We start from the raw sequence: 27,368 nt of genomic DNA, 5'->3' as shown, positions 1-27,368 counted from the left end.
CCTGCACTGTGACAAGGGCCAAGGTAATTCCTAAGCCCTTTAAAGTCTGGGAAGCCCTGGTACAGACACACAGCCCTGTGGGATAAGGCATTGTCTCTAGCAGAACTGTCCCTCATCAAGTGAACATGAAAAGTGGAGAAACAGATTGAGCCAGACACCCAGTGTCATCAAATTTGCCAGTTAAGTTTTTGGTTTTTTCTTTCCCCAAAGGGGTATGTCCTGGCAGTAAGCCTCAGTGGGCAGGTGAGCATAGGTACATGAAGGCTGTTTCAACAAGGCAGCTCTAGCAGTCACAAAGTGGGCGAGCTCTTGAATGGCCCCAGAGTGGTCCTGGAGTGTAGGTGAGGCACCACGGGAGAGCAAGCGGCAAGACTGTCAGCACTCCAGGAATCGCTTTCTAAGCCTACCTACAAAACCTCAGGTGCGGGCTGGCTGGTGCCAGCAGATGCCAGGTAGGTGGTCTCCTGCACCTCCCATCCCTTCCCAGGCTGGGAGAGCAGTGAATGTTCAGTCAAGGCCCCTGGGCTAGGAAGCCAATGTCGACAGCCTCCTCCAGCCACCCAGGAGCTGAGCATCACCGTGCCAGGGATCCAAGCGAGAAAGGCACGCGCAGCCGGGTGTGGGGCAGCTGCGGGGCAGATGTGGGGTAGGTGCGGGGCAGGTGCAGGTCAGGTGTGGGGCGGGTGCGCGCTGCCATCCCCAAGAAAGGTCCCTACGCACCTCACCTCTTTCATCTGTAAAATGGGACTGGTTGTGGTGGGGAGAAGGGGTGTAAAATAGGATTAAAGAATCTCTCGAGTGTGGTGTGCAGGTCACAGACAGTGTGAAAGACGATGAGAAAAGACAAACAGTTTTGCAAGTTATAGTTATAATGCAATAACAGCATCCGTTAAAACATAGTATCATATGCTTTAACGAATGCTATTATCTAGATTTAAGTTAAAATAAATATTTTGTTTTACATTTTCTAAAAGGTAGTAAAATCAACATAAACTATTAAGTAAATAATATTAACAGTACGGAGGGAAGTGAGTGCTAGAGGAAAACAGGAGTAGGGTCCGGACGAAGGGTCTTGGCCACCATGCAGGTAAAGTGCTCAGGGTGGGCGAGCGATCCCTGCCGGCTTAGCTCCTCCGGAGTCCGGGAAGAGTGGGAGGGCCCCTGGTAGTTTCACCGCTCTGTGTGGGCTCGCGCCGCCCCTGACCCGCCCGGGGCCGCCGCCCGCCCCGGCTCCTCTTGCGGTTCCCCCCGGCCTGCGCGGAGCTCCACCACCCGCCCTGGCGCCGGCGGCCCCGCGTCGTCAACAGCGCGAGGTGTCGGGTGGCCCAGGGTGTTTGGGCCGCACCGGGAGGCTGTTGGAATGACAAGGACGTCCCCGGGGCCAAACGAAAACAACCCCACCCCCTGCGGCGCCACCCGGCTGGGAGCGGAGAGAGACTGACGGCGGAGGCGGGGGTCAGGGCGCGGACCCGGACCCCAGCCCCATGGGGGACAGAGTCCAAAAGTAAGCGGGACCACGGGCAGAGCGGGCACCACAGCCGCGCCCTTCCAAGAAGCGCCTAGGAGGTGGCCGCGGTGTCAACGCCGTCCCTGAATTTGTTTTATTTGTGGTTCCAGATAGCTCGCGTCCTTGGTGTTCGCCTTGTCGCAGGAGCCTCGCCATCGCGCAATCTGCACTCGCCCCTCTGCAGATCTAAGGCCAGACCTGGGCCACCCTAACTTCTCGGTATCTCCTATTTCTAGAAACCGGCCGGGTGGAGGATGCAGCCGGGCGTGGTGGCTACAAGGAAGTGCCCTGGTGTTAAGAACTCAGCCTCTGAAACCCGCCGCCCAGCTTCGAGTCAGCGACGTACTTTTGTTGTCCCGGCCTTAGTATCCCCGCTGCAATAAGAGGTACTCAGCTCAAACCATCTGGGTGAGGATTAAAGGAGTTCATATCCATAAAGGACTAGAACAGGTCCTGGCACCACGTAAACATTCTTATCATCAAATGTGAAAAAACAAAGTTCTCTAAGATTTCGAAAGTGAACAGGTTATTTTTCTACGGAGTATTTGTGTCTGTTTCAACGTAAAATTCAAGGTGTATATTTCAAAATATATAGCTAAATGAATGTCTATTCTATTAAAATGATAAGAGAAACCTCTAATGAGAAAATGCAACATACAAGTAAATATTTTACAAATAATTCTGCTGACACAATCACCGATTATCACTTTACATTTTAAAAATCAAATCATCCGCCGGGCGCGGTGGCTCACGCCTGTAATCCCAGCATTTGGGGAGGCCGAGGCGGGTGGATCACGAGGTCAGGAGATCAAGACCATGCTGGCTAACATGGTCAAACCCCGTCTCTACTGAAAAACAAAAACTTAGCTGGGCGTGGTGGCGGGCGCCTGTAGTCCCGCTACTCGGGAGGCTGAGGCAGGAGAATGGGGGGAACCCGGGAGGCGGAGCTTGCAGTGAGCCAAGATCGCGCCACTGCACTCCAGCCTGGGCGGCAGAGCGAGACTCCGTCTCAAAAAAAAAAAAAAAAAAAAAAATCAAATCATCCAGCAAGTTCTGACTTGCCTGAGAACTCATCCTCTACACCTTTTTATTTTTTTTTTAAGACAGGGTCTTAACTCTGTCGCCCAGGCTGGAGTGCAGTGGCATGGTCAGGGCTCACTGCAGTTTCAACCTCCTGGGCTCAAGCGATCCTCTGCCTCAGCCTCCTAAATAACTGGGACTACAGGCGGGCACCACCATATCTGGCTAATTTGGGGGTTTTTGTTGTTTTGTTTTGTTTGTTTGTTTGTTGTAGAAATGGGGTCTCTCTCTGTTGTCCAGGCTGGTCTCAAACTCCTGAGCTCAAGTGACCTGCCCACCTCGGCCTCCCAAAGTGCTGGAATTACAGGCGTCAGCCACCACACCCCAGCCACCTTCTGCACTTTCTAATTCCCCTCGTTTCCCTAATTTTGACCTGAAATTCTTCCCCAGTTGGTCCATACATTCCCAGTAGTATGCGTAGGAGTGAACAGCTTCCTTACCTGCGATGCTTTCTGCCTGGTTTTGCTGAGAATAGGGAAGGAGGTGGGGCTTAGGGAGCCTCCACCTCAGGGTTCCTCCCAGTCAGAGGCTGAAACCCTGGTGGGCAGCTGGCTTTTGTTAACTCAGAATACACCTGACTGGGAATAGTGACTTATTTGAAGTATCTGCTCTATTTGTGGGGAAAAGTTTTGGTAAGAAAAAATAATTATAATAGGGACATAGATACTGTAACACCAGCAATGATTAATTTCGTCAATACAAAGGTGATGACTGCAGGCTGCTTTCAAAAGCTGGAGACACTGTTTCAGGCTAAGCCTTGTTATGTTCATTACATTCAAGTAAAGATAAATCAATTATCTCTACTACAGGACTGAAGTGGCCCTTAAAGAATCTCTACTAGGAAAGAATGTAATGTTCACAATGTCTTAACATAGTTTCACTTATGTTTCACTAACATAGTTTCACTTTATGTGCATAGCTGAAAACAGCAAAACTTTATCCCTCCACTCCTCCATTCTTTAATCAGAAAATAATAAGGGTTTCCCCAGCCTCTGCCTCAGATAATCTCTGTCCCTATTTTAACTGGGAGGAGGGATACAAAATATAGCAAACACACCCACCAAAAAATGTATAAAACATAAATGTTGAAGCTAAGGAACTGTCAAATAAACATTAGGACAACACCCACCCAGGTCAGGACACCCTCGAAACTCTCACAAGCCTCTTCTGGCTCACAAACCTCTCTCTCTCCCTCCTCCTTGGTAGTCATCACCACCCTTACTTTTACAGAATTCATTCTTTTTCTTTTCTTTTAGTAGTTGCATTACCTAAGTATGTCTCCGCAATATGCAGTAGTTTAATTTTGCCTGCTTTTAAGACCTTATGTAAATGAAATCATTTAGTATGTGTTTTGTATCTGGCTTATTTTGCTCAACATTTTGTCTTTAAGATTCATCCCTGGGGCCAGGTATGGTGGTTCCCACCTGTAATCCTGACTCTTTGCAAGGCTGAAGCAGGAGGGTCGCTTGAGCTCAGGAATTTAAGACCAGCCTGGGCAATATAGTGAGACCTCACCTCCATTTGAAAATAATTTTAAAATTAGCCAGGCATGGGTGGCGCATGCCTGTAGTCCCAGCTATTCAGAAGACTGAGGAGGGAGGATTGCTTAAACCCAGAAAAAAGATGCAAGGAGCTATGATTGTGCCACTGCACTCCAGCATGGGCAACAGAGCAAGACCGTCTCAAAAAAAAAAAAGAAAGATTCATCGTTGTTGTGTGTATCTGTACTTCACTTACTTTTGTTGTTTTAGAGTATTTCATACTACTTATTTCTTTACTGAGCATTTCATACTTAGGGTATTTCATACATATTCTTCTGTGTCATTCCATACTATAACATATTTTGTTTTATCCAATTTTTCTATGGGTGAACATTTGAATTATTTCCATTTTGGAGCTATTGAAAACAGTGCCACCATGAACATTAGTGTAAGTGTCTCAGCGCAGGTGTTCAGACACTTCAGTGGGGTTTATTTGCACAAGCGGAATTGCTGGGTCATAGAATAATTGGACCTCCAACCTTGTTAGACACTGTCATGCAGACTTTCACTTTTCACTCCCACTCAACAGTGTATGGACATTTATCTGGCTCCACAGCCTAGCCTGTGCCTCCTGTGGTCAAACTTTAAATTTTCAGCCAATTTAGCCTGTTGATGAATGCCTGTTTTTATGCTTATTGGCTGTTTAGATTTCTTCCTTCTGGGGGAAAAAAAAGTTGTTTGTCCATGTTTTAAATTCTTATTGATTTGGAAGAGATTGGTCCATATTCTGGATGCCAGCTCTTTGCCATGATGTGCTGCAAAAATCTCTCTGGTTCGCCTTTTTAGTAGAGTACTGATGGTTTTTGATGACCAAAATGTAGTCTCATTTGCCAGTCTTTTCCTTCATAGGTTGTACGTATTATAAGAAATCTACCCCCTACCCCAAAGTCCTGAAAATATTCTTCCAAGTCTTTTTTTTTTTTTTTTTTGACAGAGTTTTGTTTTTGTTGCCCAGGCTGGAGTGCAATGTCATGATCTTGGCTCACCACAACCTCCGCCTCCCTGGTTCAAGCGATTCTCCTGCCTCAGCCTCCCAAGTAGCTGGGATTACAGGCATGCGCCACCACACCTGGCTAATTTTGTATTTTTAGTAGAGACAAGGTTTCTCCATGTTGGTCAGGCTGGTCTCAAACCCCCGGCCTCAGGTGATTCGCCCGCCTCGGCCTCCCAAAGTGCTGGGATTACAGGCATGGGCCACTGTGCCTGGCCTCATTTTTAAAGAAGTTTTAACCATTTGCTTCTCACATTTAGGGACATTGGGGTTTTGAGTCGGTGCCTTAAAATTCTACCTCCAATGTATTCTCCTGCAATGCAAGACAAATATCCTCAGGATTCTGGCTGTGGCCTCTGTAACCACTGGATATTCTTGGCCCCAGGCAGCCCGAAGTGGGGGAAGCTGCAGACAGCCAAGGAAAATTCATTTCTGCTTCTGTGCAACCATCCCAAAGCTAAATGATGTGGATGCATTCCACGTTTGCACCTTATATCCCCAAGGAAACTTGCAAAACTACCAGAAAGCCCTCACGACCCTGCCCTGGCTGCAGGCTGTGCTCAACAGTGGGTTGCCCAACATGAGCCCTTCTCCAAGCTCCAACAGCCATTTCTGGGCCAGGGAACTCTCTGGGAACCAGGAACTGGGCCCATTCAATATCCACCACCACCCCACCACCCCTCCACCCCACCACCCCACCACCCCTGTCACTTCATGATCCCTTGGCTTCTCCTGGTGAGATCACCTTCTCTAGAAACTGAGGTCTCCTAGGAGACTGGAAGGAGCCCCCCACCCCGCCCCCACCCAGAGAAGGAGTGGTTGTGAATGGATCCCGCAAGGCACTAAGGCCCAGCTGGGGACAGAGGGACTCAGACTACACCCAGAGGCATTTACTTGAGGCTCTCTGAGTGATGTCCATTTTTTCTAGTAGGTTCTGCCACCACAGGCCACCTTTCTGGAAGAACTGATGACTTCCATCCTCCTCCCTCTCCCCCACTTTTTACCAAGGAAAAACAATCTGAGAAAAATATTTATGACAGGAAAGCTTATGGTGATGAACAACACTGTGGGAGGCCATTGTTTTAGACTGAGCTCTTGCACCAGGCTCCAACAGACCAGACCAGTCATAATGGAGTCACTCATGCTAAATGCCACAAAATCAAACTGAAATTTTATGAAAGCAAACAGGTTTCAAAATGGGCCATTTTTTTCCTAAAAACAAGAGATTCCAGTCTACTCAAGTCAGGATAATCAGGAAGTCCCCTCTGCTTTAACCCTTACAAAAAAGTAAACTGATGTTAACCAATCAGCTTCTTTTTTATTGTTTTGTTTCCTTGTTCCCACCTTCCAAAACTCACTGTTCGAACACTGCCTAGTGCAGCTCTCCAGATATTTTGTAGAATGGAGGCTGTCCCCACTCAGGAGTTGCAACTAAAAGCCAATTACATCTATCACAAATTTGGTACAATTTTATGTCTTTTGACAATAGAAATGTTACTTATAAAAGTGAGAATCTGTAAGAAACCTAAATATCCCACAAAATAACTCTAATGTTAAAAATTCTATAGATCCACTGGGCATGGCGGCTCACATCTGTAATCCCAGGATTTTGGGAGGCCAGGGCAGGCGGATCACCTGAGGTCAGGAGTTAAAGACCAGCCTGGCCAACATGGTGAAATCCAGGCTCTACTAGAAATATAAAATTAGCCAGGCATGGTGGCGGGCACCTGGGAGGCTAATGCAGGAGAATCGCTTGAACCCAAGAGGCAGAGGTTGTAGTGACCTGAGATTGCACCACTGCCCTCCAGCCTGGGTGATAGAGCAAGACTCCATCTCAAAAAAAAAAAAAAAGAAAGAAAGAAAGAAAATAAAAATTCTATAGATCCACAGGACGAAATATTATAGAATTACTCAAAATTGTGTTATAGTAGAATGTTTGATGACATACACAATTTCTACAATATATTGTTAAGGGGGGAAAGCAGAAAGCCACATATCTAATCCTTATCTGTTTAAAAGGAATTAATTATATACATATACAAAAAATAAGTAAATGGATAATAAAATTTTTGTCTAGGTAATGGGATTAGGAGATTTTGATTTTCTTTGTGTTTTTCTAGATTTTTCTTTGTGATTGATGAATGCGTGCTACTTTAGGAATCTAGTGACTTTTGAACAAAGGAAGAAGGAGAGTGATCGAGAAAAAAAGAGAGACTGAGATTGACTCATGACATTTTCAAAACTGTTTTGGCTCCTTGAGGTGAGGGCAGATCTGTCATCAAGGCTGGTTTCTGTGCAATCAACTCTGAGGCCAGGTCTATATCCCTAGAAAACTCAGAATTGACGCAACTACTGGGGTAATTCAGGCAGCAGATGAGAGAGAGAGAGAGAGAAAGACAAAGAGAGAGAGAGAAAAGGGAGGAAGGGAGGGATGGAGAAGAAACCTCTGCTGTTTTCTGCCTGGAGAAGACTGGAATTTGCTTAATAAACATACTCTTTATTCCAGTTATTTTGGTCTTTCTATGCAACCTTCTCCATTTGAATTAACCTACTCCCTGTCAAATAAAAGCCAATCCCAGTTACTATACTCAGAGGTTTCTTTGAACCACCCCTGAGCGCTGCCAGAGAAAAGCCAATCTCTGTTGCCAAACTGGAGAGCCAAGGCGGAGCCCCCGGGTCCCCCTCCTGCCTGGTACAGCCACCCAATTCATTCACCGTGACTCATCCTCCACAAAGATGAGTGACCACACACACGCATTCCTGGCTTCTGGAGGCCCAGGCTCTGAATCAGCATGCCCATCCTTTGGGTTTAGCCAGCAGAGGTGACTGTCACCCACCCACCTGCCCAGCCACCCTGCCAAGGTCACCATTAACTCTCTGTTTTTAAATTCAAGATTCATTTCTAGGTCCTCTTACTTGGCCTACCAGTTGCATTTTACATGGTTTTTTTTTTTTTTTTTTTTGGATTCTCACTCTGTCCCCAGGCTGAAGTGCAGTGGCACCATCTCGGCTCACTGCAGCCTCTGCCTCCCGGATTCAAGCGATTCTCTTGCCTCAGCTTCCTGAGTAGCTGAGACTACAGGTGCATACCACCACACTCGGTTATTTTTGTATTTTTAGTAGAGACAGGGTTTCACCCTGTTGTCAGGGCTGGTCTCAAACTCCTGACCTCAAGTGATGGGCCTGCCGTGGCCTCCCAAAGTACTGGGATTACAGGTGTGAGCCACTGTGCCTGGCCTTGCATTTTACGTGGATTTTATTCCCTCCTGCTTTACACACTTCCTTCACTTGGCTTCCAGGACACCCATTGCCCTCTCTGGTTGTTCTGCTCTTCTCTGGAGTCTCCTATACTGGTTCACCCAAACTTTTTTTCTCTGACAGTTTTATTTTGAAATTTTCATACTATAGGAAAATTGAAAGAACAGGGCAATGAATACCCACTGGTATTTCCCTCACCCGACTAATCACCTAACCATTCACCAGCTATTGCCATTTTGCCACATTTGTTCTCTCTCCATGTGTATTTGTTGAGCCATTTGAAAGTTGCGTATGCCATGACTTTCAACAAAACCACTCTACTACTATTACAGCTAAGAAAATTAACATTAATATGATACCATCTAATATCTATTCAGATTTCTCCAATTGTCCCAAAAGGGTTTGTTTGTCATAGCTTCCTTTTAGCCAGTATCCAGTGCAGGTTCACAAAATGTATTTGGTGGTGATGACTCTTTGGTTTCTTTTCATCTAGATCAGCTCAGCACATTTACAGAAAATAATAATAACATTGACCTTTTTTGCAGAGTTCAGAAGAGGTGGTTTGTGAATTTCTCCTATCCCCGGCCCTCTTAACTTTTGGGTTACCCGAGAATTTGGTTTTGGACTTCTTTTCTTCTCTGTTTACACTCACTTTCTTGGTGATCTCATCTGGGATAATGCCTTTAAATATCATCCACATGTCAATAACTCTCAAATACATATTCTCAGCCTAGGCCTGTCTCCTGAATGCCTGACTCTAAGTATTAATGGAGATCTCTACCTGGTATTTCATAATCAGCTCAAATTTTAAAACTGAACATTTGGTCTTCCCAAAACTTCTTCTGCCTGTGGCCTTTTCCTTCTCAACTGACAGCAACTCCACCTTTCCATTTGCTCAAGCCAAAAAAACAGAATCATCCTTGACTCATCATTGTGTCTTACTGTCTACGTCCAATCGGTCTGGAAACCCTGTTCCCTCACTCTTCAGAATACACTCTGAATCTGACCACTTTTCACCACCTCCACTGTTTCCACCTGGGTCTGCTGTCTAGATTATTGCAATGGCCTCTGAACAAGTCTTGCTCCTTCCACCTCTGTGGTCCTGTAACCTATTCTAACACAGACAACAAGGAGTGCTTTCACGATCTTAAGTCACATTATGTATTATATACTCTTCTACTGAAAACCTTCCCGTGTTCTCAGTTTGCCTCAAAATTAAAAGCCAAAGATCTTCACTAGCCTATCAAGGCCCCCTTACCTCTCTGACCTCATCTCCTCTACCCCCTCTTCCCTCTTCCCCTCATTCACTCCACTCCATCTATCCTCAGCACATTGATTCTCAAACATACCAAGAGTGAGCCCACCTCTGGGCCTTTGCACACTCCCTCCAGACACCCACATGGCTCCTTTCCCCACCTCCCTTGGGTCCCTTGCTCAAAGGGCACCCTCTCAAAGAGGCCTATTCCTGAATTTTCTTCTTAAAATTGCAATTGCTCACCTTTGTGCAACACACATGCATGGCACACGCACATCCCTCCTCCCCCTTACCCCTTATCTTATATTACCTTCTAACATGCTATGCAATTTACCCATATGTTATATTTCTTGTTTATTTCCTGTTCCTCCCTCCCCAGTGTAAGCTCCTAAAGGCAGAAATCAAGCTGACCTAAGCAAAGACCTGAAGGAGCTATGAGGACATCTGGCAGAAGAGGTAATGCTACGGGTAAGGAATTGTACAAACACATGAGAAATATCCACAGAAAGCATAGCACCTGGTAGGCACAGAATGAGTACTAGCTATTATTAATATTTAGTCCACCCCTCCCTTCAAAATGGAAAAGCAATGCTGTGAATTTTAGTGAATCGTTTATAATTAAACCAACCATGTTTATTTAAAGCTACTTGGCAGAAAGGCACTAGGTAAGAAGGCAGGGCGGGGGGAGAATGCCAAAAGCTGATACCCCACACACACCTAACTCATGCCTAGAAGACCCAGGGAGGAATGTGGCATTCCCAGCAGAATAGAAGCCCTGATCCTTTGCTTCGAAGGATGTGCTTTCAATCACATTATTCGATTTCTCTGGCCCTGTCTGTAAAAATGAAGGGGGTAGTTGATAATGCCTAGAGTTGGGTAAATTAATAGCCAAATATTAGCTTTTGATAAAGAGTCCCTCCTGGAATAAGACAGGAAATAACAATTATTGTTAGGACTGGCAGCTTTATTCTCTGCATAAACTTGGTTTGACACTCTCTCCTGTGTATTTTAACAAACACAATTTCAGCTCCTCCCTTCCTATCTCTATTCCCAGACTCTCAGGGGGATCAAAAGGAAACAGTAAAATTTTGAAGATGTGACTATTTGACAGTCAGCATGATGGTTCAGAGTCAAACATTCTATAACTTTTTCTTATAATTTCTGTTCTGCAATCTCTCAAATTGCTAGGACTCGGGAATGGAGAATGAATTAGCAGCTTCTTTTAGGGTAAATGTATTCCCCTTCCATCCTCCACCTACCCCAAGCATGCCCAGGGTCTTCTGGCCACAGGTCCACTCCAACCCTGCTCCAGGCCCTGGAGTGAGGAGTCCTGCCAAAGGAAGTTGGATGAGCAGCTCTGGCACAGTGAGAGCCTTCTGGGCCTAATTCTCTTACATAAAATGGACCTGATCAAAATAAGACCTTCCCTGGGTCGCTTTTAAATGACCCATCCTGCTCTCTAATACTTCTACCCAGCGTCAGACTGTCTGGGGAGGAGGTAGAAGGGGAAGCACACACTTGGTTATCAGGATAATTTATCTACATGGCACCAAACATCAGCATGCCGCTGTGCCTGCCTGCTCCATCTTTGTCCATGTAGTTGCTCCACACAGCACTCCCCCTCCCACCACTGCTATGCATGTTTGGAGAGCGGCCACTGGGGAAAGAGTAATGGACTGTGCTGCAGCAGCTCCCCAGGCCCTGGGCTTCGCCTTCACTCCCCCTGCACAGTAACTCACATGCCCTTCTCCTGTGTGTTGAGGGAAGCATCCACAAGTTCCCTGGGCATTGGTGGAGGATCTTAGGAGACTTCCCACTTTCCCTGGCATCCTTCCAGGATTAAGGAACATGGAAGCCTGTGGCCATACTACAAATTAAGTTCCTTCCATGCAAGACACCCTCCAGGGCTGGGTGGTCCCACAGATGGCTAGGGACATAGTCTGACAGTTGTTGCCTCAGGGGGCAATAGATGGTCAGACTATGAGTGCCTTAGGACTCAAAGAGTGTTGTGCATCAATGATAGAATGGATAAAGAAAATGTGGCACATATACACCATGGAATACTATGCAGCCATAAAAAAGGATGAGTTCATGTCCTTTGCAGGGACATGGATGAAGCTGGGAACCATCATTCTCAGCAAACTAAAACAGGAATGGAAAACCAAACACTGCATGTTCTCACTCATAAGTGGGAGTTGAACAATGAGAACACATGGACACAGGGAGGGGAACATCATGCACGGGGGCCTGTCATGGGGTGAGGGGCAAGGGGAGGGAGAGCATTGGGACAAATACCTAACGTGTTCCCGGCCTAAAACCTAGATGATGGGTTGATAGGTGGAGCAAACCACCATGGCACATGTATACCTAGGTAACAAACTTGCATGTTCTGCACATGTATCCCAGAACTTAAAGTAAAATTAAAAAAAAAAATTTAAAGAGTGCTATGCAGAGGCAAAATACTCGGAAGGATGGCGTGTCACCTCATTTACACCTCTATTCAGTCATGAGCCCCAGAAGCTGGGATAGATGGGTTTTATTCTGTTTGTTTTGTTTTTTGAGACAGAGTTTCACTCTGGTGCCCAAGCTGGAGTGCAGTGGAGTGATCTCAGCTCACTGCAACCTCTGCCTTCCAGGTTCAAGCAATTCTCCTGCCTCAGCCTCCTGAATAGCTGGGACTACAGGCACCTGCCACCACACCCGGCTAATTTTTTGTATTTTTAGTACAGACAATAGTAGAGACAGGGTTTCACCTTGTTAGCCAGGATGGTCCTGATCTCCAGACCTCGTGTTCGGCCTGCCTCAGCCTCCCAAAGTGCTGGGATTACAGGTGTGAGCCCCTGTGCCTGGCCGGATGGTATTTAACTGGGAAGCCCACTTCACAGCTGCTCTTAACACTTAGAACTGCTTCTAGTTTGGCCTGACCGACCTCACCTTAGCAGGTTTCTCCTTTTCCTGAAGAATGTGCTTAAAAAGTCTTTTAAAAGTTAAACTCACAAGCACAACTAGTTTATCTGTATTATACCCCAAAAATAGCTTTTAATTAGAAAAACAAGTTCAGAAGCCTGGGCTGGCTCTAGCAAGTCACAGGAGGCCCCTGGAGGGTGAATTCAGGAACAATCCTTGGGAACTTGCAATTATGTTGAAGAAAGAAATCAACAAGGGTTTCTGTTTGTTTGTTTGTTTAAATGGCTTTTTTTTTTTTTTTTGGTAGAAAGATTCCATTTAGAATGTTATTCACTGTGGACACCTCCCACATATACAGCCAGTGGAGGGGGTGGGTGGCCCTATATTCAGTGGGCACAAGGAGAGATGTTGACATATTTTACATTTGTAGAGAATAACAATAGCGACAGTAGAAACTTATTTATAGCAATGTGCAGGTTGGTAACTTCTTAAGGAAAGTGCAACTTGGAGCCCTGGGCTCAGCCCCGGGAAACCATGAATAGCAGACCTGTCATGTCCCCCTCCCTAGGCAAGAGGCTGGCCAGCGGCTATAAACAAGTTAAGGGACTCCTCTGAGCCTCAACATCCCATCCCTGGAATGGAGAGAAGGACGTCTGCCCTGCTTATCTCAAAAGGACATCGATGAGATCATAGAAGCCCAAGCTGAGGTTACATCTGATGCTAAAAACTAGACGAGAAAGGGTCTGTCTGACCCTCAAGGTCAGCAATGTGTGTGCAACTCCCCTCTCGGGGTCTGGGGACGCAGCCATGTGTTCCATCGCACACCAGGCTTTGGGGATATTGTAGGGCTCAGACCGCCGACTGCTAGTTTATTAAAAGAGCAGCTGCCATCCCGCCGCGCAGTGGGACAGAGAGCTGCAGCCCGGCGCAGGCTCGACCCCGCAGGGAACCGCGACCCGGGGATAGGCAGCTCTGGACTGCACTGATCTGGGACTCTGTCGGCTCTACAGACACACACACGCGCGCGCACACACACACACATGCACACACGCACGCACACACACACGCACGCACAGCCGCTAGGCCTAGAGTTTATTTTTCCAGGGGCTGGTGGGGACTCCGCTCCCGCGGCGGGCGGCGGCACTGGAATGTTAATTGAAACGGAGCTGGCGAGCGCGGCGCAGATAAGCGTCGCCCAGCAGCGTCCCCGCCTGCGGCTCCCCGAATCAGCGATCCGGGAAGGCCCCGCCGCCTCTCTGGCCGCTGAGGGTTTTCTTTTCCACGCTGAAGGAGTGGAACGCGCGCGGAGGCAGCTCGGCGCCCGCAAACCCCCGGAGTCAGCCCCCGACGGTCTGTCCCAGAACTAAACGGTCTCCGCCACCCAAAGCCGAGAAGCTAAGAGGCCGGCTGGGGGAGGGTGACACGGAGAAATGGAGAAGCCCACCCAGCGGTTACATACCGGCAGATTTTTATTTCCTTTAACTGGTTGGTTCTTCTAAACATTTAATGCAAGAAATCTCTCGGCCCGCTTCACTTTACTCTCCACCCATGCTCTTCCCCTAACCCTGAGAATTTTGCACAGATTTTCGGGGTTCGCGCGGAGCGCCTCTGAAAGTGATGGCGGACAAACCGTCAAAAAGGCCTCAGCATAGCAATTTAGGAAAAGATCGTATCAGATCCTTAATTCACACCATACACTCTAATACACTCGAAAGTAAGCAAAGAAATTATAACAAATACCAGAATAAAATATGGGTGAATTCCTTTTTAACCTCAGTGTAGGAAAAGAAAGGTCTTCTCACCATGACTCAAATCAAGAAGCAAGTAAACATAACACAAATGATTACATTTTATAAAATGCATGGTAAGAAATCACTATAAAAGAAGTCAAAAGACAATTGTCAAACAGGAAGAAAATATTTGCAACATATAGCACACATAACCAAAGTAACTGATATTGAGAAAACTTAAAAATTGAAATTGGGAGATGGATACAATTTGCGTTTGTGTATGTATGTGTATATATTTATGTGTTTTTAATTGTTATGTATATTATACATGTATATGTATAGATACATACACATATGTATATATCCCTTAAACATATAAAAGGATGTTGCACCTCACTTGTAATTAGAGAAATGCAAATTAAAAACAACACTGAGATACTGTTTCTCACCTATCAAATTTGTAAGAATTAAGAGGCATGATCATGCATTCCGTTGCCCGGGCTAGCTGGGAAGCAGGCACTCCCATACAGTACTGGTGGAATGCAAACCTGTAGAACCTTTCTGGAGAGGAGAACTCCTAAAAATACTATATGTGCATTTATGTTTCACCTATGGTCCCATTTCTTAGAAATTTGTCTTTCGACAAATTCAATTGACAATTGTCTTTTGACTCTGAAGACATGCCTCCAACAATATAAAAACACATACAAACTTATTATTGTAAAGTACTGGAAAACTCTAAATACTCATTCACAGAACAGTGGTTGAATAAACTTTGGTACATTCGTGCAATGGAGTACTAGGCAACTATAGAAAACAATAAGGAAGACCTCTTTGGACCAATATGATGTGACTGCTGAATATATTGTTAAGTGAAAAAAAGGTAACGGCAAAAGAGTATCTTCAAGAATCAATGAGAGCTGGGAACAGCTCATGTTCTGGGGAGGAGGCTGTGCCGGCCATGGGGCTTTGGGTGTGTGATTGACTGCAGGTGTGCTTGCCTTGTGGCAGCAGAAAAAGGATGCACCAGTGATCAACCCGTCTCTTAAATATGGTAATCAGATCAACATCATAGATTTTAATGATAAAAGTATCATTATAAATGAAAACGTTATCCATCAAGTGGATGAAATTAGGCACATTAATGCCAGTCCGGCAGACAAAGGTGAGCTGGTGACATTCTACAATAAAAGTTATTGTGTCTTCTCCTGACTGGACTGGATACTCCTGGAGGGTCCTGAAGTGTGTACTATTTATCTTTGTGTCTGAGTGCCTTGTATATGGGGTGACCATATGGACAGTTGTGGTTAGTTTATACTTGGCACACCATCTAGTTAGTGTTAAAGGACACTTTCCACTTTCCCAGTGTTAAAGGACACTGGCCTTTCCCAGTTAGGCCAGGTGCAGCAGCTTACTCCTGTAATCCCAACGCTTTGGGAGGTCAAGGTGGGAGGATCACTCGAGGCTGGGAGTTCCAGACCAGCCTAGGCAACATAGTGAGGCTCTGTCTCTAAAAAAAAATGTATCCCAGTTTGTGTGACAGATTCTATGATTACCTTTTCCATGTAATAGGCACTCTCAGAAAATATCTTCTGAATTGAATGGAATAATTTGGAACATAATGAAGTAATGGTTTTGCTAAAATGTTTTAAATGTTGAGTATATGTTTCTACGGAGTGAGTGTACTAACGCGTACTGAGCAAAAAAAATTAGGAAGAAACATAAAAGGCAATTACTAAATAAATGCATTGATCATAGTACATGAAAGAGCACCATATGGGAAATCAGGAGATAGATGTGGCCTCAAATAAGTTTCTTAACCTTCCTTTCTCTTAGTTTCCTCATTTATAAACTAGAAATCATAACTACTTTACACATCTCACTGAGTTATTTTGAGAACCAGTGAGATGAGATATAAATATGCATTTTTTAAAAAAGGAAACCATACAGGAAATAATCTAGATCTGTTTGCCAAATCGTTCCCCATTATTTTTCAACTCTTCATTTCTGCTCTAGAGGGAACTGATGTGGGAGCAGGGCCACAGAAGTGCAGAACAATGGCCCCAGGATTGGTAGTGAGAAAACCTGGATTCTAATTTTCCTCTGCTATGTGATAGCCGTGTGATCTTGGACCACATGTAATCTCTGTGTTCTTTATCTGTAAAATAAAGATGACTAAGCTAAAGCCATCATTTAAAAGAAAAAATGAGAAAATTCACTGAGTCATTTTGAGGGTTTACTTTAAAATTATCATTATGCACTCTGAAATATAAGGTTATAAAGCCCTATGCTAACAGTCATGAGTAGTAGGAGATTCTCGCCATCCTGAGTATACTGCAGGCATGGAATAGCTTATTTTGAGCAAAGGAGATATAGGTAGAAAGTACACAGGCATTGTTATTGCAGCTATTGTTCTAAAGCAGTGGCCATGCACAGGTAGCAACCAGAGACATGATATCAATTCAAAAAAAAACACACAATAAATGTCATGGCTTTACAATAAGAAAGAGTATCCATATTAAGCTGCCTTGTCATGTAAGAAAGAAGGAAAAATAAGAAAATACACATATATCTGTTCATTTGTTGTTGTTGTTTTAAAGCACAGAAAGGACAAACTAATGAGATTTGAAGTGTGTACCAACTAGGAAAGAAAGGGGAGTGGGAACAGGAATACAGGGATAAAGGTGTACTGTCACTTCTTTAAGTATATCTTTTTACATAATTTTGATTTTAAGAACCATGTTAATTTTTCAAATACTCAAAAATATAAATACATTATTACAGTATTAAAAAGTGGATCCCAGCAAAAGGGACCGTGGCAAAGCAGAAATTGCCACCATTGATGGTCCCCAGACACCCTTTGGGACAGTCCCCAGAGTATCCTAGGAACTATCCCCAATCAAGCAGGACAGATACCTGTCCTCAATAAATATTTGTTAAAGACCTACTACGTGCCTTGGGGACACAGCTGTGACAACAGACCCAGAGCCCAAGTCTAGTCTAGTCTAACGGGGATCCTGCACTTGGGTTAAAGAGGACTGATTTCACCTCGGCCCACAGGGCCCACTAAGCCGCGAGGTTACCAGGAATTGCCTGTTGAGTATGGTACTTGCTGGAGGGAATCCCTTCGTTTCAGGAGAGTGAAAGAAACAGGAAATAATGACTTTTGTTAACCACGGAGAAGTAGAGGTTCAGGGCCGGGCGCGGTGGTTCACGCCTGTAATCCCAGCACTTTGGGAGGCCGAGGCGGGTAGATCACGAGGTCAGGAGTTCGAGACTAACCTGGCCAACATGGTGAAACCCGGTCTCTACTAAAAATACAAAAATTAGCCGGGTGTGGTGGCGGGCACCTGTAATCCCAGCTACTCGGGAGGCTGAGGCAGGAGAATTGCTTGAAACCGAAAAGGCGGAGGTTGCAGTGAGCCGAGATCATGCCACTGCACTCCAGCCTGGGCAAAAGAGCGAAACTCCGTCTCAAAAAAAAAAAATCAATAAATATAGTGTACAAATTCCGTCTGATTGTGCAAGGTAACACAATGTATGGGAATTATTTAAAAGTCTGTCTTCTATGCAAGAATGCAAGTTCGGATAAGAAGGCTGAGACCTCTCATTTTCTCAGTATTCCCAGAGCTTGGGCAGAGCTGGCCCACGGTAGGCGCTTAAAACACTCTGCGGACCTGAGTGAAGCAAAGCGGATCAATCACACCCCTAGCACGGCCGTCTCCATCTCACCTAAGAACAGAGGTGATCACGATGTCTCCATTCCTGAGTAAGGGACACACACACACACACACACACACACACACACACACACACACACACCTCCCGGCACCACGCTGTTGGGGCTGCACGGAGGCCTGCCTAGGAGTCTCTGGACTCTCTGGCTTTTCTGCTGTCGCCTCCCTTCCTAGTTTCCTCCCCGGCTTTCCTGGGCGCCAGCGCTTAGGCAGGTGGCCTGTCACTCGAGCCTCTGTTGCACTGCAAGGCAGCCGCTAATGCGCCTCCAATTGACCCGGAATGAGCGAGATTCGAGGTACCGGTTCCACTCTCGGCGGGCGGGCGGCTTTCAATGCTTCTGGCGCTGAAGTAGGAGGAGGGAGGAGGGACTCCAGGCCCCTCCGAGAGGTGACCGAGAGAGACCCAAGCGAGCGAAGAAGCTGAAACCAGAAAGCAGGACACTGCAAATTCCCGCCGCGTGGCGCGGTGCTGCAGAAGGACGGCCTTGCTCCCTGCAGGGGTGGGGCGAGCGCGACAGGGACCCCTATCCCCAGGTCTACGCCGGGAGCGCGCATCCTGAGCCGAAACGACCCTTTCCATAACAAGGACTCGCTACGCTGGGGAGCCTGCTCTTGGAAAGCGGCGGGTAAATTGCTCCGCAGACCCGGACTCTGGTCGAATGGAGACGTTTCCACCCCTCGAGAGGGGTTAGAAAGCATTTTCACGTACAAAAATCTCATTTCATCCTCGCAGCAAGCCAGGAAGGGCAAGGCTGGGGACCTAGGGCTACGATTTGAACTCAAGGCTTCCGACGCCAAGTCCCCCACAAGGTGTCTTTTCTTCTACGACTTAGGTAGAGCGCGACTGTCTGCCACGAAAATTCCACCAACTGATAAGGCGCTGGAAGGTTTCTGGCGTTAGGTTTCTACCCCGGGTGGCCCTACTTCCCCCCTCCAGCACTTGGAAGGCGAGAACCCAGCGAGTCGTCAGTATCCCCTGGAAGGACGAGGCGGAACTCCTACCGCGGAAATATTCTAAGTTCAGGGTCTCTTGTGGGTGCCCGGTGATGATTGTAAACACCCGTAGACCAGGCACTCGCCTGCACCTCCGGGAACAAAATACGATAATACTGTTTTTCTAGGAAGCCCTGGAATGGCATGTCTTATGAGCATTAAAATATTTGACTGATTGATGTTTCTTCTACATATGTATCCTGAGAAAATAACAGAAAATATTGACAAGGATGAAAATTGAAGGCACAAAATAAAGTCTTATTTACAGTGATAAAAAAAGATATTATCTAAAAATACAAACACAGTCTACTACGGTCTATCAATAACATGAAATATTAGATTCCTATTTTAAATTATATTTGTTTAAAAAATTCTAAAGATGAACTGGGCATGCTTATGATGTAAATTTAAACATATACAAACATATATACCCTATGAGCTCATATATACAGAAATAAAGACAAGAAGGTCCACTAAAATGTTGTCTCTGGGTGGATATTTTCTTTTAACTTTTCTTCACTTTTTCCAAGGTGCGCATGATGACTTTTATCAGGAAACAAAAATTCAAATAAATGTATGGGTCATCAGAAGATTTTGAGATCTCTAAGAGCAAAGGATGTATATTTCAAAAAGAAAGAAAGACAGGGTAAATTGTCTTGGTTTAGAGGCTAGTCTGGTCTTGCCATTTGGTGAACTATCTGGGCCACCTCTCTGATCTGGACTCCTCGCTGAACAAAAGAAGAAGAAGGAGAAGGAGAAGGAGGAGGAGGAGGAGGAGGGGAAGAAGAAGAAGAAGAAGAAGAAGAAGAAGAAGAAGAAGAAGAAGAAGAAGAAGAAGAAGAAGAAGAAGAAGAGGAGGAGGAAGAAGAAGAAGGAGCAGCAGCTGGAAATATTTGGGTATAGCTTTGATGTGAAGATTAAATGTTACCATGTATAGGAAATCATTACTTTGTAGCTGAATGATCAAATGTGCTGAAATTTTGCATAAATATTTGTGTGCAATTTTGCACCCATTAGCCTGGGGAGATGAGTTGGGTTTATCTGAATTTCAGGAGATAATCATATTCAAACAGCTGTTGTAACATTGAATTCACGTAAGTAGGTTTAAGAAGCATTTGAAGCCTGCGCGGTGGCTCACACCTGTAATCCCAGCACTTTGGGAGGCCGAGGTGGGCACATTACTTGAGCCCAGGAGTTCAAGACCAGCCTAAGCAACATGGCGAAACCCCGGCTCTACAAGCAATAAATAAATAAATAAATAGCCAGGCTTAGTGGCTGCATCTGTGGTCCCAGCTACTCAGGAGGCTGAGGTGGGAGGATCACTGAGTCCGGGTCGAGGCTGCAGCGAGCCATGATCCGGCCACTGCATTCCAGCCTGGGAGACAGAGAGAGACCCTGTAACCAAAAAAAAAAAAAAAAAGGAAGAAAGAGAAAGAAAGAAAAGAAAGAAAGAAAAAGGAGGGAGGGAGGGAGGGAAAGGAAGGAAAGAAAAACAAAAAGAAACATTTGATCTGAAATCCCCAAAAGAACTCTAATGAGATCCCATTGTGATTAAAACACAATTTTTAAACCCTCTTCGATTCAGTGCTGGAACAGCTGACACCAAATCACGTTTCCCTGATCCAGGAGTAGTAACAGCAGGGGCTGGATCTGTTGGCGCTATCTCCGTGTTGGTAACCTTTGTGCCACACTGCGCCATTTACTCGGTGCCCGCCGTAACCAAGGGCCTTTTCTGGAGATCTAATGCGAGTCAAATCTTCCCAGCCCTTCGGCGGGCGCCGCATTTATACGCGCACACAAGCTGGCACGCTCCAGGCAATCCGCTTTAAGGAGGATAAAGGAGAGGAAGAAAAAGAACGTGGGGACGCCAAGGGCGACGGAAGCCCACCCCCCCCCACCCCCACTCCCGCCTCTGACCACTTTGCGCGGGCCGCAGAGATTGCCTTCCAGTCTCCCCCACCATTCGCGGAGCCCTTTAAGAGGTCGAGGGCTCCCCACATGTAGCCCCCACACCCATTCCTCGGTCCTGGGGCTGAGAAGCTGCTCCTAGGAAGTGGCGGGTCGGGACTCCGCAGACCTGGATTCTGTTCAAAGAGAGAGGTTTCCATCTCAATATAGGCCCTGGTGGGTCAAGACTCACTTCTACTCTGCGGTCCGGCCTCTGCGCACGTAAGATCCCAGCGCGCGCCTCAAATTCCGCGGGTCCCAGCTGTCTCTATCTTAGCTTTCCTCCGCCATAAGAATGCAGAGTTGAGCTAAGACCAGGCTGGATGGACCGGATCGGGTTGCACAGCAAGGACTCCACCTCCAATCCCCGCATGTCCACTAGGAGGGTCCCCGTGGACCCTAGGTTGACCTCGGAAGCTCCCGCTAGTACCGTATTGACGGAGATCCAAGCCGCGCGCAGCACTGTCTCTCCACGTTTTCTTTGCTTTGAGAACCGTCAATACGAACCAAACCTCCCAGGAAGGCGACTGGGGACTGGAGAGGATTCGACGGGCGCGGGAAGAAAGCGCTGGGGGAGGAAGGTGCAGAGCTAGCACGTGGTTTCTGCGAGAACCAATGGGGGGCTACGGTCTCGTCACCCGGCCCTGGACCCGGGCCTACCAGCATGGCCCAGAGGAAGGCGCTGTCTGGGACGCTGGGCGTCTGTCCCAGAGCTTGGGTCTGTCTGCGGGGCCTGCAGCGACAAGACGGGAAGTTCAGGGTGCCGCTCCTCACCCGGACCTCCTCGGCCCCGCCCCATCCGCCTTCGGGATGCTGCTGAGCCCCGTCACCTCCACCCCCTTCTCGGTCAAGGACATCCTGCGACTGGAGCGCGAGCGGAGCTGCCCCGCGGCTTCGCCACATCCGCGGGTGCGGAAGAGCCCGGAAAACTTTCAGTACCTGAGAATGGACGCAGAGCCGCGAGGGTCAGAGGTTCACAACGCTGGTGGCGGCGGCGGTGACAGAAAGCTGGATGGTTCGGAGCCTCCTGGGGGTCCCTGTGAGGCAGTCTTGGAGATGGACGCGGAACGGATGGGGGAGCCACGTGAGTAAGCGCTCAGGTCTTGCCTCCTACGGGGGGAATGTGGGGGCGGGGGCGTGATCCATGGGTGCATGGGGAAAATACGCCTCCTATCTCCTGGGTTCGAGACTCTCTCCATTTTCTCTCGAGGAGTCCAAAAAAAGGCCTCTCGAATCCCATTCCCATCCTCTCCTGACACCCAGTGTGCTTCACACACCCCTAACGAAAGTAAGGCCCTGAATCTCAAGGATTCACTTTTCCCAAATCCGCTCCTCTGATTCCCACAAACGCATCGCTCACACTCGCAGCCACAGTGCCCAGAACCTCCACCTTCTCATCTCCACAGCGAAACCCTCCGCAGTGTCTTAGCCGTGCCAGTCACCACCGCCCTTCCCTACCATCACCTGGTGTCTCTCCACCCCCAAACCGTTTGCAAAAGCGTGTGGCCATCAAAGCAGTGGAACCCTCGTGGCGCTGAGGTCACTCCTAACTGGGCCCTTTCTTGCTGGTCTGGTCGGGGGACCCCCCCATTCCTCCTCATGGATTTTTCTTCTGGAAGACGAAAGTTGGGGACCGGGTGGCGATTGAGTCTCCCGAAGTGGAAGGCCCCGTTGGCGCAGGATTCTCCGCGTCAGGGAGAACGTTAAAGGTTGCCAGGGTTTTCTCTGCCCTGGGACACGGTTCTGGCCGAGTCCTGTCGCAGGTATCCAAAGGCGCAACCGTGCGCGCCGGGCTGCGAGGCCCACGCACCTGTGTCCAGCCCGCTGGAAGGGAAGGGGCTGGCGGGGAGTTGTGTTGCGTCGATCCGGGAGTTGTGTTGTGTCGATCCGGAGGCTTCAGCTGGAGAGGCCCGATATTCCAAGGGATGAAAACGCCACCTTTTTCTCTCCAAACCTCAGCACCTCACTCGGCATTCTCAACGCAGGGGCCCTGAGTAGCGCCCGCCAGGGCAGGCCTCCTCTGCCAGACTGTGCCATGGCGCCTCCATTCAAGGCGCGAACGAAAGAAATAAACCAAGGGGCTAGATCGGAGTTATTTACCGGCCTGCAGGCCGGCTACTCACTAACTCCAGAAGCCTAAGAACATTACCTGCTGTGTCCGCGAAGAAGCTGGTAGGTTTTCTGCAGCGGATTCTAAACTCCCTCGGCGCTGCTCAGCCAACTCGGCGATCACTTCGGCTCCGCTGAGCTGACAAAGGATCACGTTCCTTCGACCACCACAGTCGCCTCGCAGCCGATGGTATTTGCGGCGCCTTCCTTCTCCCACTGGAAACCAAATCCTGGGAGCGTCTCTTCTGCGGCAGCAGTGGACGCCGCCGAGGAGGGACCCGAGGCCGGACCCGAGGCCGGCTCCAGGAACTGAGCCCAAGGCCGCGGTAGCGATCCGGACAGGGAAGACACCTTCGGTGGGCTTCATGCCTTCCTCCATCGCAGCTAACCACCTTGCCCTCAAGAACTCCAGGATTGTGAACAGAAGGGCGCAGGGTGCTGGCCCACCCTGCGGTGCTGTGCAGCCCCAGGGCCTGCATGATCTGTGACTTTGAAATGGGGTCCTCCTTGCTCTGCAGCCTGGCTGAAGGTCAGTTGTTACCTTTCGATGCGCTAAGAAAACAAACCCTCCTCAGAATTTTTCCTCTTTGCAAGTGGAGATGGCCTCAGTTTATCTGAGCACAGACGTCTCTGAAGGAAGTTGTTCTGTCCTCAAACTTTACATACCAAACAGCTCCATCCCCCTCCAGGAGATTGTGCCAGTGCCTTGGGTATTAGGAGTCTGGTTCCAATCGCACTGGCTCATTTAGAGTCCTGTCCCGTCTTGCCATGAACTTGCACCCCTTCCATGCTCCTGATTTTCTCCTGGCGTGAGATCCCATGAAAACTCAGCATTTCCCTTCTATCCACCCTTGGGGTAAAACGGGGTTTAAGCCCAGACAGGAGAGAAGTGAGAAGGGAGGAAAACGCTGCATCTTGGTGGGCACAGTCTCAGCTGTAGGGGTCGCCCTGGGTGAAAGGAAGACTTCAGGGTGAAGCCCACACCACCTGCTTGCCAGAAAGACCCCAAAGGAGGGAGAGGCTACTTTTTAAGAAGCCAAATGTGGACCTCAACTTTATGTATCTCTCAAAGAGAACCTCAGTTTCTGAGCCAAAAGTCAGGAGCCAATAAATATTTTGTTTTCATCATATATTGTTAATTTGGATTACAAAGCATCACATCCAAGAAAGCTGGGATGCATCCCTGGTGTTGGTGGAGCGCTGCGTCAAAAAGACAAGAGTGTGCACAAAAGTTGGGTGAAGGTAGGAGACACTCAAGGCTCCCGCTCCTGGACTTACAGCCAAGTTCCCTGCAGTGCGCTTGGGGCTGCGAAGGAAAATGAGGCAGACAGGAGCCTCCTGAGAGCCTGTCACCGAGTTTGCGCCTTCTTGACACCCGGGCTTCTCTCTGTTTTTCCTTCCTTTCCTTCTTCTTCTTCTCCTCCTCCTCTTCCTCCTCCTCTTCCTCTTCCTCTTTCTTCTCCTTCTTTCTCTACTTCCAAGGAGGGTCCAAAGTCTCCTCAATCTGATAGACACCTCCACTCACACTTGTTCCTCACAGCGAAGGTTTACCATGCACACACAGTTTTTTTTTTGTTTGTTTGTTTTTTGTTTGTTTGTTTTTTGAGACGGAGTCTCGCTCTGTCACCCAGGCTGGAGTGCAGTGGCACGATCTCGGCTCACTGCAAGCTCCGCCTCCCGGGTTCACGCCATTCTCCTGCCTCAGCCTCCCGAGTAGCTGGGACTACAGGCACATGCCACCTCGCCCGGCTAATTTTTTGTATTTTTAGTAGAGACGGGGTTTCATCGTGTTAGCCAGGATGGTCTCGATCTCCTGACCTCGTGATCCGCCCGTCTCGGCCTCCCAAAGTGCTGGGATTACAGGCATGAGCCACTGCGCCCGGCCCATGCACACACATTCTAAGAAGCAAATGGAGCTGCCTTAACTCTTTATCTAGAGTCTACCTTTAGGAAAAGGACGCACACACGAGGGACCATAGGTTGTCACAATTTATGTTCCAGCAGTAACATATAAAGGTGACAGAGCTTGGAGGGAAAAAACATGGAGACAGTCCTGGGACAGGGTTCGTCCTGGGACAGGGTTCGGGGGCAGTAGGAGGGAGGAGGAGCCTGCGCAGAGTGAAGGCTGCCAGGGAGAGGAAAGTCTTGAAAACTAAGTAGGAACCGCTCAGGTGAGCCTTAGGCTGGGCGCTGATGTGTCCCTTCCTGTGCTTTTAGAGCCCGGCCTGAACGCGGCCTCGCCCCTCGGCGGCGGGACCAGGGTGCCAGAGCGCGGCGTTGGCAACAGCGGCGACAGCGTGCGGGGTGGCCGCTCGGAGCAGCCCAAGGCGCGGCAACGACGGAAGCCGCGCGTGCTCTTTTCGCAGGCGCAGGTGCTGGCCCTGGAGCGGCGCTTCAAGCAGCAGCGGTACCTGTCAGCGCCCGAGCGCGAGCACCTGGCCAGCGCGCTGCAGCTCACGTCCACGCAGGTCAAGATCTGGTTCCAGAACCGACGCTACAAATGCAAGAGACAGCGCCAGGACAAGTCGCTGGAACTGGCTGGCCACCCTCTAACGCCGCGCCGAGTAGCTGTGCCCGTCCTGGTGCGCGATGGCAAGCCCTGCCTGGGCCCCGGGCCCGGCGCACCTGCCTTCCCCAGCCCCTACAGTGCAGCAGTGTCGCCCTACTCTTGCTACGGAGGCTACAGCGGAGCACCCTACGGCGCAGGCTACGGCACCTGCTACGCGGGCGCGCCCTCGGGTCCTGCGCCACACACACCACTGGCCAGCGCGGGCTTCGGACACGGTGGCCAGAATGCCACCCCGCAGGGCCATCTGGCAGCCACGCTGCAGGGTGTCAGGGCCTGGTGAGGCTCCTCGGCTTGACTCTGCCAACCAGGGCCAGATGCTCGTTCCCTTCCCCTCCGCCCGCAGGTCGTGACAAGGAGGGGACGCGGCGCTGGAAGGAAGCTGCTACCCAACGGCGCTTCTTTCCGGAGGGATCTCTGAAACTGCGATCTGCACCACAGTCACCCAGTTAAAGGCCCCGCCTGGGACGTTCTTCCCCCAAAAGAAGACCCCTCCACCGGTCACCCACCAAGCAACACAGGGACTGAAGAACACCAAGGCTGGCTGGCAGTTTGGGGTGTGGGAGCAGTACTAAGGCGCGTGACTTTTGGGGCTTCAACCCCAGAGGCCCGAGAGGCTCTTGCATCTGTACGCAGCAGCCCCGGGGCATCGGCGGTGAATGGAGATGGTGATCTAGCGGGCCTACCATCCTCCAATTAATGACAGCTGTTGGGGAAGAAAGAGAAGAGGACGGGAGGGCGGGAAGGGGGCTGAAGAGCTGGGAACTTGAGGATCCGGGAAGTTCACGAAGAGTAACCTGCTTTGAGCCTCTTCCTTTGGGACTTAAACATCCCCATAAGGCCGCGCCCCAGGGGACTCCGTTAATCCAGAGGAGCACTCTTTTCTGGCCACGACTGCTCTCCTGGAAGTAGGCTCTACATTCTGGTCCCTTTCACTGTTGTGCATTTTATCTCTTTGTACAGCACAGCACCTCCAATAAATATACTAAATAGGTGTGCATGTGGTTGCGTGTGTGTAGGCCATTAGAACATATATTCACCATTACCTTGAAACAATTTCGAGTTAAAGTAAAAATGAAGCCCAGAAGTGCTAGGAGAACAAAATCAATTCAGTCTTGGAGGTAGGTTTCCTAATTTCTTCCCTAACACTCCTCTCGCCCTCTTTGTGGGTTTTCTTTGGAGCATCAGCAGTTTCTAAGTTTTGAGCCAGGAAAAGATCAAGTGCCCCAAAGTCCTAAAAAGATGGGTAGAAAGCCTGACCTTTAGGCTTTCTAAAATTGTGACATTTTGACATCTCACCCCTAACGTATCTGAGGTCATGCAAATTCAAGAATGAAAACAAACTCATTTTACTCATAGGGACATGGGATCAAATAGAAAACGTGTGTTTGCCAAGACAGATATTATAGAAAATTTAGTAGGAAAACATGGCTTTTTTTTCTCCCCTTGGATTGCATTTTTAGATAATGAAAATTCTAATTATTCATCCCGCAGGACTACTGACTTCTTGAACGTTAAATTCTCATATTTGATAAATTCCCATATTTAATTCAAATGTACTACCCCTGAATTTTCTCATTTCTAATATGGCCTGGTTGTTTTACTAAAGTGAGAAGCAGACTGCTTAAGGGTATGTAAACTATACCTGACTGTTGATAGCTTTCATCCCTTAGAGTGTATACGTTTCAGCTTAAAAAAAAAAGTAGTGGTTAATTTTTTTACTATCATTTTCTTACATTTTCTCTCC

General features: G+C 48.1%; 1 protein-coding gene and 2 long non-coding RNA genes across 5 annotated transcripts in view, besides 2 other annotated features; 2 read left to right on the top strand and 1 right to left on the bottom strand.

Moving 5' to 3' along the window:
• Positions 1–27,368, bottom strand: part of LOC107986930 (uncharacterized) — a 139,865-nt gene that overhangs the window by 74,588 nt on the left and 37,909 nt on the right. The window lies entirely within an intron of this gene.
• Positions 1,412–15,491, top strand: LOC101929258 (uncharacterized). Of its 3 annotated transcripts, none has more exons than NR_188038.1 (4): positions 1,412–1,504; positions 1,744–1,893; positions 10,012–10,088; positions 13,108–15,491. It is a non-coding gene; the product is annotated as an uncharacterized LOC101929258 (long non-coding RNA). The 3 variants fall into 3 exon arrangements; NR_188036.1 differs by having other exon boundaries at positions 10,012–10,100; NR_188037.1 differs by having other exon boundaries at positions 10,012–10,152.
• Positions 18,374–18,938: an enhancer, noted in NCBI's record as "H3K4me1 hESC enhancer chr8:23566930-23567494 (GRCh37/hg19 assembly coordinates)". NCBI's record gives its function as "activates a minimal SCP1, AML or CMV promoter by ChIP-STARR-seq in naive H9 embryonic stem cells {active_cell/tissue: H9 hESC(naive)}" and the evidence as "EXISTENCE:reporter gene assay evidence [ECO:0000049][PMID:30033119]".
• On the top strand, positions 21,599–26,615 carry NKX2-6 (NK2 homeobox 6). The gene is made up of 2 exons (NM_001136271.3): positions 21,599–22,030; positions 25,273–26,615. The coding sequence occupies exons 1-2, from the start codon at positions 21,757–21,759 to the stop codon at positions 25,902–25,904; spliced, it is 906 nt and encodes a 301-aa protein (NP_001129743.2). The 5' UTR covers positions 21,599–21,756; the 3' UTR covers positions 25,905–26,615.
• Positions 22,980–23,879: an enhancer, noted in NCBI's record as "H3K4me1 hESC enhancer chr8:23561989-23562888 (GRCh37/hg19 assembly coordinates)". NCBI's record gives its function as "activates a minimal SCP1, AML or CMV promoter by ChIP-STARR-seq in naive H9 embryonic stem cells {active_cell/tissue: H9 hESC(naive)}" and the evidence as "EXISTENCE:reporter gene assay evidence [ECO:0000049][PMID:30033119]".

This window comes from Homo sapiens, chromosome 8, assembly GCF_000001405.40.
Source record: "Homo sapiens chromosome 8, GRCh38.p14 Primary Assembly".
Classification (NCBI taxonomy): Eukaryota; Metazoa; Chordata; class Mammalia; order Primates; family Hominidae; genus Homo; species Homo sapiens.
This window is presented reverse-complemented; position numbering and strand designations above follow the sequence as displayed.

What these genes read in the sequence shown, in the direction of transcription:
- NKX2-6 (NM_001136271.3), top strand. Translation starts at nt 21,757, where the DNA reads ATGCTGCTGAGCCCCGTCACCTCCACCCCCTTCTCGGTCAAGGACATC. An exon ending in GGAACGGATGGGGGAGCCAC is followed by an intron (nt 22,031 to 25,272) that starts GTGAGTAAGCGC and finishes CTGTGCTTTTAG; the next exon opens with AGCCCGGCCTGAACGCGGCC.